Source organism: Homo sapiens, chromosome 16 (genome assembly GCF_000001405.40).
Source record: "Homo sapiens chromosome 16, GRCh38.p14 Primary Assembly".
Classification (NCBI taxonomy): Eukaryota; Metazoa; Chordata; class Mammalia; order Primates; family Hominidae; genus Homo; species Homo sapiens.
In genome coordinates this window covers 66,486,681-66,499,123 of record NC_000016.10, presented here as the reverse complement: position 1 = coordinate 66,499,123, position 12,443 = coordinate 66,486,681, and the positions used below count along the sequence as shown (strand labels likewise).

Below are 12,443 nucleotides of genomic sequence, written 5' to 3'. Positions count from 1 at the left end.
TCTCTATCTCCTTCAGTTCTGCTGTGATCTTAGTTATTTCTTGCCTTCTGCTAGCTTTTGAATGTGTTTGCTCTTGCTTCTCTAGTTCTTTTAATTGTGATGTTAGGGTGTCAATTTTAGATCTTTCCTGCTTTCTCTTGTGGGCATTTAGTGCTATAAATTTCCCCCTACAGACTGCTTTGAATGTGTCCCAGAGATTCTGGTATGTTGTGTCTTTGTTCTCGTTGGTTTCAAAGAACATCTTTATTTCTGCCTTCATTTCGTTGTGTACCCAGCAGTCATTCAGGAGCAGGTTGTTCAGTTTCCATGTAGTTGAGCGGTTTTGAGTTAGTTTCTTAATGCTGAGTTCTAGTTTGATTGCACTGTGGTCTGAGAGACAGTTTGTTATCATTTCTGTTCTTTTACATTTGCTGAGGAGTGCTTTACTTCCAAGTATGTGGTCAATTTTGGAATAGGTGCGGTGTGGTGCTGCAAAGAATTATATTCTGTTGATTTGGGGTGGAGAGTTCTGTAGATGTCTATTAGGTCCGCTTGGTGCAGAGCTGAGTTCAATTCCTGGATATCCTTGTTAACTTTCTGTTTCGTTGATCTGTCTAATGTTGACAGTGGGTTGTTAAAGTCTCCCATTATTATTGTGTGGGAGTCTAAGTCTCTTTGTAGGTCTCTAAGGACTTGCTTTATGAATCTGGGTGCTCCTGTATTGGGTGCATATATATTTAGGATAGTTAGCTCTTCTTGTTGAATTGATCCCTTTACCATTATGTAGTGGTCTTCTTTGTCTCTTTTGATCTTTGTTGGTTTAAAGTCTGTTTTATCAGAGACTAGGATTGCAACCCCTGCCTTTTTTTGTTTTCCATTTGCTTGGTAGATCTTCCTCCATCCCTTTATTTTGAGCCTATGTGTGTCTCTGCACGTGAGATGGGTTTCCTGAATACAGCACACTGATGGGTCTTGACTCTTTATCCAATTTGCCAGTCTGTGTCTTTTAATTGGAGCATTTAGCCCATTTACATTATTGTTATGTGTGAATTTGATCCTGTCATTATGATGTTAGCTGGTTATTTTGCTCATTAGTTGATGCAGTTTCTTCCTAGCCTCAGTGGTCTTTACAGTTTGGCATGTTTTTGCAGTGGCTGGTACCAGTTGTTCCTTTCCATGTTTAGTGCTTCGTTCAGGAGCTCTTTTAGGGCAGGCCTGGTGGTGAGAAAATCTCTCAGCATTTGCTTGTCTGTAAAGTATTTCATTTCTCCTTCACTTATGAAGCTTAGTTTGGCTGGATATGAAATTCTGGGTTGAAAATTCTTTCCTTTAAGAATGTTGAATATCGGCCCCCACTCTCTTCTGGCTTGTAGAGTTTCTGCCGAGAGATCAGCTGTTAGTCTGATGGGCTTCCCTTTGTGGGTAACCCGACCTTTCTCTCTGGCTGCCTTTAACATTTTTTCCTTCATTTCAACTTTGGTGAATCTGACAATTATGTGTCTTGGAGTTGCTCTTCTCAAGGAGTATCTTTGTGGCATTCTCTGTATTTCCTGAATATGAATGTTGGCCTGCCTTGCTAGGTTGGGGAAGTTCTCCTGGGTAATATCCTGCAGAGTGTTTTCCAACTTGGTTCCATTCTCCCCGTCACTTTCAGGTACACCAATCAGATGTAGATTTGGTCTTTTCACATAGTCCCATATTTCTTGGAGGCTGTGTTCTTTTTATTATTTTTTCTCTAAACTTCTCGCTTCATTTCATTCATTTGATCTTCCATCACTGATACCCTTTCTTCCAGTTGATCGAATTGGCTACTGAGGCTTGTGCATTCGTCACGTAGTTCTCATGCCTTGGTTTTCAGCTCCATCAGGTCCTTTAAGGACTTCTCTGCATTGATTATTCTAGTTAGCCATTCGTCTAATTTTTTTTCAAGGTTTTTAACTTCTTTGCCATGGGTTTGGACTTCCTCCTTTAGCCTGGAGTAGTTTGATCATCTGAAGCCTTCTTCTCTCAACTCGTCAAAGTCATTCTCCGTCCAGCTTTGTTCTGTTGCTGGTGAGGAGCTGTGTTCCTTTGGAGGAGGAGAGGCACTCTGATTTTTAGAGTTTCCAGTTTTTCTGCTCTGTTTTTTCCCCATCTTTGTAGTTTTATCTACCTTTGGTCTTTGATGATGGTGACGTACAGATGGGGTTTTGGTGTGGATGTCCTTTCTGTTTGTTAGTTTTCCTTCTAACAGTCAGGACCCTCAGCTGCAGGTCTGTTGGAGTTTGCCGGAGGTCCACTCCAGACCCTGTTTGCCTGGGTATCAGCAGCAGAGGCTGTAGAACAGCGGATTTTGGTGAACAGCAAATGTTGCTGCCTGATCGTTCCTCTGGAAGTTTTGTCTCAGAGGAGTACCCAGCTGTGTGAGGTGTCAGTCTGCCCCTACTGGGGGATGCCTCCCAGTTAGGCTACTCAGGGGTCAGGGACCCACTTGAGGAGGCAGTCTGTCCATTCTCAGATCTCCAGCTGCATGCTGGGAGAACCACTACTCTCTTCAAAGCTGTCAGACAGGGACATTTAAGTCTGCAGAGGATTCTGCTGCCTTTTGTTTGGCTGTGCCCTGTCCCCAGAGGTGGAGTCTACAGAGGCAGGCAGGCCTCCTTGAGCTGCAGTGGGCTTCACCCAGTTCGAACTTCCTGGCTGCTTTGTTTACCTACTCAAGCCTTGGCAGTGGCGGGCGCCTCTCCACCAGCCTTGCTGCCACCTTGCAGTTTGATCTCAGACTGCTGTGCTAGCAATGAGCGAGGCTCCGTGGGCGTAGGACCCTCTGAGCCATGCGCGGGATATAATCTCCTGGTGTGCCATTTGCTAAGACCATTGGAAAAGCGCAGTATTAGGGTGGGAGTGACCCAATTTTCCAGGTGCCGTCTGTCACCCCTTTCTTTGACTAGGAAAGGGAATTCCCTGACCCCTTGCGCTTCCTGGGTGAGGCGATGCCTCACCCTGCTTTGGCTCATGCTTGGTGCGCTGCACCCACTGTCCTGCACCCACTTTCCAACACTCCCCAGTGAGATGAACCCGGTACCTCAGTTGGAAATGCAGAAATCACCCGTCTTCTGCGTCGCTCATGCTGGGAGCTGTAGACTGGAGCTGTTCCTATTCGGCCATCTTGGCTCCACCTCCTAATTTTTTTTTTTTAATAGAGACAAGGTCTTACTATGTTGTCCAGGCTGGTCTCAAACTCCTGGGCTCAAGTGATCCTCCCATCTTGGCCTCCCAAAGTGCTGGGATTATAGGTATGAGCCACCGCATCTGGCCTCACTTGTTTTTGATGTTCCTGATGGAGGCTTGTGGCTGGGGTGTGGCTCCCTCACTTTCCCGATAATGCTCCACACCCTGACAGCTCTCCAGCTTGGCTGTGGGCTGCCAGATGCTGTGCTAAGTGATTAGGATGGGTGGATGGATGGATGGTTGGATGGATGAATGGCTGGATGGATAGAAGGAAGGAAGGGAGGAAGGTGGGAGGTGGGGATGGATGGATGGAAGGATGGATGGATGGATGGATGGTTGGATGGAGGGAAGGAAGGAAAGAAGGACGGAAGGATCAAGGGCAGGAGGGAGGTGGGAGGCAGGGATGGATGGATGGTTGGATGGAGGGAAGGAAGGAAAGAAGGAAGGAAGGAAGGAAGGATCAAGGGCAGGAGGGAGGTGGGAGGCAGGGATGGATGGACGGTTGGATGGAGGGAAGGAAGGAAAGAAGGAAGGAAGGATCCAGGGTGGGAGGGAGGTGGGAGGCAGGGATGGATGGATGGTTGGATGGAGGGAAGGAAGGAAGGAAGGATCAAGGGAAGGAGGGAGGGTGGGAGGCAGGGAGGGATGGATGGTTGGATGGATGAGTGGGTGATAACCAGCGTGCCCTGTGCTGCCCAGTGCATACTGCTTCCTGATTTGTGTCTCAGAAAGCCTGTGTAGGGGCTGTTTTAGGACTGCTGTCTGACTTGGATGCAGGTGGAGCCAAAGCTTTTAAAATCCTTCCAGCCTGAGGCCCCCCCTTGGTCTTAAGGACTGAAAGTGGTGTGGTTATATGCTCAGTTTCAGGGAGAGCAAAGGCAGGTACCAACAATTATTAAACACCTGCTTTGCACCCTGAAGGGACCTTCACCTATTTAATTTTTCCCATTTCACAGATGGGAAGCCTAGAGGCCGTCCCTGGGTTAGTGACACCTGCCACCACATAGAGAAGCCCCTGGTTGGAGGAGGATGCCCTCTGTTGGGATCCCAATGAGGAATGACTAAGGGCATGTGTATGTGCATGTGCCATACCTGAATGTACCTATTTGTGTGCACATGTGCATGTATATGTGTACATAAAGGGGCAGGAGATGGCAGGTAGAGGGGGTGCCCCCGCTCCTGGATGGAGAGCAGGCATGAGAGTTGACCCTGAGCTCCCAACAAATTAGCCGAAAGAAAAGGGAGGCCAGTAGTGGATCCTAGATGGATTAAGGGTGTACTACACATCCAGTTGTCTACACATCTATGCCCTCTTTATTTGCACTGTGATAGGTGAAATGGGTCTGAAGGCTGCTGAGGGAAGCGGCTACTCAGAGCTGCAGGATGACCTACCCAGGGTCACACAACTGAACTGGGACATGAAGAGGACAGAAAACCTAAAGGGAGGGGCCCTTCTCTGGGTCGGTCTCTGATGGGCACTGAGCACACCTCACCTCACTAACTCTTCCCAGCCTCCTGGGAAGGAGGTCTGACCATAGTCACTTTACAGATGAGGAAAACGAGGCTCATAGAGGTGGAGTGAGTTGCCCAAGGTCACACAAGCCATCGATGGCAGGGCTGGAATTTGAGACCTTTTGGGGTTAGCAGATTGGCTCCTATGCCTCACAAGCAAGCCATAGGTTTGGCCACTCTTCCCCCGTGCCCTGCTTCTCCTCCTGTGCTGTGATCCCAGGTCTAGCACCTCTCCCAGCAGTCACCTCCTGGTGGACATCACAGTGAGAGCTATTTGCTTATTCAGGGTGCCTGCCCTGTACTAGCGAGAGATCACTCCCTCAGCTATTGCTGGGATGGTGTCTTTGGGTGGGTACTGGTGCCACCAGCCCCCACTGGGGGTATAGTGGGTGCTGGGGTGCTCTCATCCATGCAGGGGAGCCTGGGTAGACCTCCAGAATGGAGTGACTCCACTTTCTGGGCTGCCGTCATCACCAGTTGGCTCTGGCCCCACAAGAGGCCCTAGTTGTCCATCTTCCTCCACCTCAGGGCGTGGGATGCCTCTAGGATGGCCTGCAGGAGTTGAGGGACCAAGAAGGTGAGGGAGCACTCACAGAGCTCATTCCTCTCGGAAGAGGTGCTGGGAGGTGCGGCGTCTATTCTGGGGCTGGCCAGCTCCAGCTATGCTTCTGGCTTCCGGTCTAAGGGCTGCCCTGGAGATTGGGGACCTGGTGTCGGGCAGAGCTGGCTGAGAATGGTGACTTTTCTGCTCTCAGGAACTGCATCCGAGACCAGGGGCTGCCCCCTGCTGCACCCTGAGGCGGTGACCACCTCACCCGATGAAGGGCCAGGGGCCAGGGCTGGGCCTGGGAGTTGGTTTCCCTTCAGGCTTCTCAGGAAAATGTCCTTGGGAAACCAGGGCATCCAGTGTAAGACAGGGTCACTGAAGCAAGGCAGGACCTCCTCACTGTCCAGGCATGTGCTGCCATGGCACTGGGGGCCCTAGAGGACTGGAGAGCCACTGGGGAGGCTGTTGGGGGCTGTTGAGACCTCAGATGGGCTCAGAGCCATGGGCAGAGATCTCTGGCCAGCAGTGCCCTCTGCCAGGGCCGTCTCGGACCCCACCCCTTCTGAGGGACCTTGCTGTGGTCCCCCGGAACCTGGGCCTGGCTGAACCCCCTCGAGGCAGCTGCAGGGCTTCACCAGCCTTTTCTCTGAGCTGTGCCTGCTGTGGGTCCTAGCGAGTTTCTCTGTGCCCGGCTCAAGCATCCGTGTGCCCGCGGTTCTGAGAACGGCTTCACATGAGACCCTCACCAGGAAGATCTTGAACACCATCTGCTTGACATTCTCTTTGCTGATGGCCTGGACCAGTGAGAACTCAGACTCCAAGGTGGCCGTGTAGCCCAGCCTGCCCAGGATGGCGTCCAGTTTGTGTCTGGAAAGCATAGATCGCACCCAGTAGGTAAAGCTCCCAGTGTACATCTAGAACAGACAAGGGAGCTTGTTAGGAGTGGGACAGGCCTCAGCAGAGTGGCTGAGAGGGGCCAGGCCAGGCAGGACCAAGGGCTGGTGCCGAGGGACACCAGGGGCTCCTGAGAAGCACGTGGATGAGGGCATTTGGCCAAAGGAAAGCCTGGCCCATGATCAGGGGTACACTGAGGCTCAAAGACAAAGCAGGATCTGTCCAAAGACACTCAGAAAGTGGCTGGGTGTGGTGGCTCACACCTGTAATCCCAGCACTTTGGGAGGCCAAGGAGGGCGGATCACCTGAGGTCAGGAGTTCGAGACCAGCCTGGCCAACATGGTGAAACCCCTCTCTACTAAAAATACAAAAAAATTAGCCGGGCATGGTGGCAGGCGCCTGTAATCCCAGCTGTTTGGGAGGCTGAGGCAGGAGAATTGCTCGAACCCAGGAGGTGGAGGTTGCAGTGAGGACAGATTGCACCACTGCTCTCCAGCCTGGGCCACACAGCGAGACTCCATCTCAAAAAAACAAAAAAACGCAAAAAGAGAGTGACTGAGCTGGGGTAAGGCTCTAGGTATCCCAGCTCCCAGCCTAGCAGTCAGGGCCTGGAGCAGGAAGAAATTAAAACTCTGGTAGGGGCCGAGTGTGACTGCTCACATCTGTAAACCCAGCACTTTGGGAGGGCGAGGCAGGAAGATCACTTCAGGTCAGGAGTTTGAGACCAGCCTGGCCAACATGGTGAAACCCCGTCTCTACTAAAAATACAAAAATTAGCCAGGTGTGTTGGTGGACACCTGTAATCCCAGCTACTCAGGGGGCTGAGGCAGGAGAATCGCTTGATCCTGAGAGGCAGAAGTTGCAGTGAGCCAAGATCGCGCCACTGTACTCCAGCCTGGGTGACAGAGCAAGACTCTGTCTCAAGAACAAAACAAAATGAAAAACAACAAAAAAACAAAACCTCTCTGGTAGCTCTCTAAAGCCCAACTCCTCCCGTTGTTTATTATGAGCACCTTGGTTCATCTTTCCTCGGAGAGGCAGTAACAGTCCAGTGCAGGAGTCCCCAATCCCCAGGCCTTGGACCAGTACTGGTCTATGGTCTGTTAGGAACCTGGCCGCACAGCAGGAGGTGAGTGGCGGGCAAACAAGCATTATCACTTGAGCTCCGCCTCCTGTCACGATCAGCAGTGGCATTAGATTCTCATAGGAGTGGAACCCTATTGTGAACTGTGCATGAGAGGGATCTAGGTTGCGTGCTCCTTATGAAAATCTAATGCTTGATGGTCTGAGGTGGAAGAGTTTCATCCTGAAACTAACCCCCGCCCCCATCCCTCCACCCTGTCTGTGGAAAAATTGTCTTCTGTGAAACTGGCCCCTGGTGCCAAAAAGGTTGGGGACCGCTGGTCTCGTGGTTAGGAGCAGTTGTACCACTTGCTAGCTGTTGACCATGGATAAGTTGCATCTGTCTCTTTAGCCCTCAATTTCTTAAACTGAAATGGGACTGAAGTCAATGGATATGATGGGCATGCTGTTTCTCCCAGAGGCAGAGCCCCAACCCCTGGCTGAATCCCCCTTGCTCAGACATGTGGCAGTGCCTACCTTTAGGGACCTGATTTCCTTCCTCCAGGGAAACAGAAGCAGGTTGACAGAGATCAGCTCCAGGAACTCTAGTGCATGCACCAGCTCAGGGCTGACTTTTGGGACAGGGCTGGGATCCCCACAACAGCAGCCACCCAGAGCAAGGGCCACTTCCTCTGGCAGACAGAGCCATGGAGGGGCCCTCCTGCCCAGGAGCCACCTGGCCCTGTGGGTGAGGGCTGCTTGCCTGCAGACATCGAGCCGGCCCTCCCCTGCTCTCTCCTGGTAGTAGCTGATGATGTTGCCCAGGAGGGTCTCACCCAGAGCAGCTTCGCCTGGGCCTGGGGATTGGGACCTGCTCATGGTGGCTTCGGGGGGGCTGGATATGGAGGATAGAGTCCTGTCCCAGGCCAGGCTCAGGCTGGGCACTTGGAGGAATGGATGGGTCCTGCCTCTCCTGCTCCAAAGCCCAATCTGGAAGCAAAGGAGGAAGTTGTGCTAGCAAGAGATAAAGCTATGTGCAGCCAGGCCCTGCCACTGCTTGTCACTCTGAAAAGCTGAGATTGGAGGGTGACCGGGCCCCTCCCAGTGGAGCAGGGCCTAGGTCAGGATTTGTCCTTTCTTTGTCCCCCTGCCCCACAAAAAATGAAGACCAGGCACATCAGCATCTGCATCTTTCCACACTACCATCCCATCCAGATATCCCCAGTAATGCCTCATGCCTTGAGTGCTGCTGGCTGCAGAGGCATACTCTGCTAGTGTGCGGGACAGGCTGGAAGCGCCAGGAAGGTGGCGACCCTCAACCAACCAAGGGCCAGCGGGGTGAGAGTTACTGGATAGAAACCCCAGCTTCCTGCCCCTGGGTGGCCAATTCTTAGGTATGTTTTTGTAAATTGAAAAGTGTCGGAGGCAGATCTCAATCAATTTAGAGGTTTCTTTTTATTTTATTATTTTATTTTATTTTATTTTATTTTATTTTATTTTATTTTATTTTATTTTATTTTATTGAAACAGAGTCTTGTTTTGTTGCCCAGGCTGGAGTGCAGTGACGTGATCTTGGCCCACTGCAATTTCCACCTTCTGGGTTCAAGCGATTCTCCTGCCTCAGCCTCCCAAGTAGTTGGGACTACATGCATGTGCCACTATGCCTGGCTAATTTTTTTTTTTTTTTTTTTTTTTTTTTTTAGTAGAGATGGGATTTCACCATGTTGGCCAGGCTGATCTCAAACTCCTGACCTGAGGTGATCTGCCCACTTTGGCCTCCCAAAGTGCTGAGATTACAGGCATGAGCCACCGCATCTGGCTGAGGACCTGGGTCTTGATTGTCATTTGCTTTCTATGAGACTCTGCTGGGCTCCTGCCTCTCCAGTCGCCAGGAAGGACAGCCACCTGGGTGCTTGGTCTTGGAGCTGCCTCAGACCTGGGCTCGTCACAGCTGGGATCTCTGCTCCCTGCTCCCAACTCCCCTGCCCCCTACAATGTTCTCTGAATTCAGTGGCCAGGGCAGTTCATATCCCTTTGATTGAGAAACTGCATCCCAGTTGGAGTTCTACTCGAAAATAGATCCCCCTGGAGTAGCACCGTGATAGTTCAGCAGCACAACCCCTTTCTGTATGTAGCCCCCTCCAGCATGATCCTATAAAACTTCCCTCCAGCCTCTGCCTCTGTGCAGACAGCCCTGTCTCTGCTGTGCTGCCCGTTGCAACCTTGCAACATATTTTCTCTCTTTCCTACCTTCTCTAATAAATCTGCCTTTCTGTATCCACAACTGTCTTGGTAGATTCCTTTACCACCCACACTACTGGCTCCAGATAGTCACTACCCACAACACTGTGGGTGCTACTCATTCACACACATGGGCTCATCTGATCCTGAACATCAGAAATGTTAGGTCCAGGGTCAAACGTGGCCACCCCTTGGCTTCCCTGTCTACCTCCCTCTGAAATGAAGACACAGGTAAGGCCCAGGGCAGATTCATGTGAGAGAATGCTAAGAGTTGGCATGATCACAGCCTGGGGTCAAAGAGGGTTGGAGAGGCCTTTGCCCATCACTTGTCCAAATCTGCCTTCCTCTCATCTTATGAACCAAGAGATTGAGGCAGGGAGAGCAAGAGCTGGGATTGGAACCCAAGTGTATTCGTTTCCTATTGATGCTGCAGTGAATTTCTACGGGTTTAGTGGTTTAAAAGAAGAAGTATTTATTAACTTATACTTTTTTTTTTGTTTTTTTTTGAGATGGAGTTTCGCTCTTCTTGCCCAGGCTGAAGTACAACAGTGCAGTCTCGGCTCACTGCTACCTCCACCTCCTGGGTTCAAGTGATTCTCCTGTCTCAGACTCCCAAGTAGCTGGAATTACAGGTGCCCGCCACCACGCCCAGCTAATTTTTGTATTTTTAGTAGAGACAGGGTTTCACCATGTTGCCCAGGCTGGTCTCGAACTCCTGACCTCAGGCAATCCACCTGCCTCGGCCTCTCAAAGTGCTGGGCTTACAGGTGTGAGCCACCTTGCCTGGCCTATTTTATACTTTTAAAGGTCAGACCGAGGTCCAAAATCAGTCTCACTGGGCTTGTTCCTTTGGGGAGAATTCATTTCCTTGCTTTTTCCAGTTCCTAGAGGCCACCTACATTCCTTGGCTCAGGGCCCCTTCCTCCATCTTAAAAGCCAGCAGTGTAGTTTTCTGTTTGTTTGTTTTTGTTTTTTGTTTTTTGAGATATGATCTCACCCTGTTGCCCAGGCTGGAGTACAGTGGCACAGTCAGCTCACTGCAGCCTTGACCTCCTGGGCTCAAACAATCCTCCTGTCCCACCCTCCCCTGTAGCTGGGACTACAGGCACACCCCATAGCATCTGGCTAATTAAAACAGTTTTTTTTTTTTTTTTTTTTTTGGTAGTGATAAGGTCTCACTATGTTGCCCAGGCTGGTTTCCAACTCCTGAGCTCAAGCTAGCCTCCCACCTCTGCCTCCCAAAGTGCTGGGGTTATAGGTGTGAGCCACCACACCTGGCCTCCCTGAGTTGTGTTGAAGAGTATAGTCACCAGGCCAAGGTTCTCTCTTTTTCTCTCATTCTTCGACCCCAGGCAGTTTTGTTCCCTAGGGAGAGGCCTAGAATGGCCTTTGTTTTTTTCTTGTTAATAGCTAAAATTCCACATATTGGTACATTCCAAGGCCCCCACCCCCCTGCCCCACCACTGTGATTCTTCTATTGCTTTTGGTTGCTTACTAACTACATTCATTCTGGACATCTTAGTCCTCCATTCCCCTCATGGGGAACCTGTCATGCCTGTGAACTGCCAGCCACTCTCATCTTTCCCAGGGTGGCTGAGACAGTGAGGGTGAGAACGCTGGGCATGGTGCCTAAAATCACCCCTTCCCTGCCCTCTCATGCTGGAGTCAGCCTTGCTTCTCCCCATTGGCTCGCTGCAGCCTCCTTCAACAGTTGGATTTGGTGTTAATTGCATTGTTCACATTTTCTGGGTCCTTGGGGGAGTGACTGATTTCGTGAGAACCTGCTCTCTCTGCCCGTCAGTGTGACTGACTTTGGGAACAGTGCAGGCAGGGAGGGGAGGTGGAGGCATGGGAGATCTGCAGGGGCTGCTTTGGCCTAGGTGGGCTGATGGGGCATGGGGGTCCTGAGGCCTGGTTCAAGTTCACATAGTGAGCTGATGACAGAAGCAGAGAAGCCAGACCTCTGGGTCCCCATACTCAGCCTTCACTCACAGCAGCTCCCAGGTTCCTTGCAGAGCTTAGTTGCTCAGAGGCCACAGGGTCTCTGGCGGGCTGAGCCTGAGTCATGTGCCTACTCTGCAGAGGGTGAGGAGGAGGAGCTGGATGGGGATGCTGGCTGGGCAGAGGGTCCCAGGTCTGGAACTCAGCACTTACTGTCATCAAGTCTGTGTGACTGGCAGGAAGCACTGTTTCTCTCATAATTGAGCTGGGAGTTCCTGCTGATTACCCCATAAACCCTCCTGGGCTCTGTGCTGGGCCCACCACCTGGACAGGAGTCAGCTTGGGCCACAATTCCAGGCCCCTAGTCTGGGAGGCATAACTCAGGCCCTTGAGGACAGCCCAGGAAGGGAAGGGCTGTAAGGAGGAGAAGAGGCAGGAGCCCATGGTGCGATTGTCCTAGGGAGAAGTCAGTGCCTGGAGTGGAGTCTCAGGCCCAGTTGCATAGATTCATACCTTGGCCTTTTGCCCAAATTTATGTTCCTCTTCAGGAACAAAACTGTGTAACCATGCACTGTGGGTGAGTGTATTCCTTGGAAGAGTCTTGTAAGTCCACAAGTCACAGACTGCCCTCAGTGTGGAGCTCAGCTGGCTCCCTGCAGCTGGCTGGGGCCCCTCCCAGTGGGCAGTGGATCTGGGCCTCTCTGGTCCAAGCCCCCTCCCTGCTATGGCAACCATGAGAAAGAGCTGGCACAGATTCAAGATGGTGTCCAGTGAGCCTGGAGCCCTCAGGCCTGGCTGGAGGCTGTTGCTCTTTCCTCCTTTCTTTGCTATGGGCCCTGCTTAGCAACCACTCTCCGCCTGACCCTGCCCCAGCACCTGCCCTGACTCACTGCCCAGCTCATTGTCTATCTGTGGCTTGGGGTCATCGCTCAGACTGAGATCTGAGGGGTAGGGCCTGTCCCTGTCAAGGGAACATGGCAGAGGCTGCTCGTCTGTGTGTCTCCAGTCCTCCCAGCCTCCTCCCCTCTTTTCTTTGCAGAACCCATTCCAGGAGAGA

General features: G+C 51.4%; 1 protein-coding gene across 1 annotated transcript in view, besides 1 other annotated feature; it reads right to left on the bottom strand.

Moving 5' to 3' along the window:
* BEAN1 (brain expressed associated with NEDD4 1) overlaps positions 3,836 to 12,443 on the bottom strand; it is a 67,994-nt gene continuing 59,386 nt past the window's right edge. Inside the window, exon 5 of the mRNA NM_001197224.4 lies at positions 3,836 to 6,162. Coding sequence (NP_001184153.1) covers positions 6,059 to 6,162 — 104 coding nt within the window. The 3' untranslated portion in view covers positions 3,836 to 6,058. The remainder of the gene's footprint in view (positions 6,163 to 12,443) is intronic.
* Positions 10,824 to 11,324: an enhancer, noted in NCBI's record as "H3K4me1 hESC enhancer chr16:66521703-66522203 (GRCh37/hg19 assembly coordinates)". NCBI's record gives its function as "activates a minimal SCP1, AML or CMV promoter by ChIP-STARR-seq in primed H9 embryonic stem cells {active_cell/tissue: H9 hESC(primed)}" and the evidence as "EXISTENCE:reporter gene assay evidence [ECO:0000049][PMID:30033119]".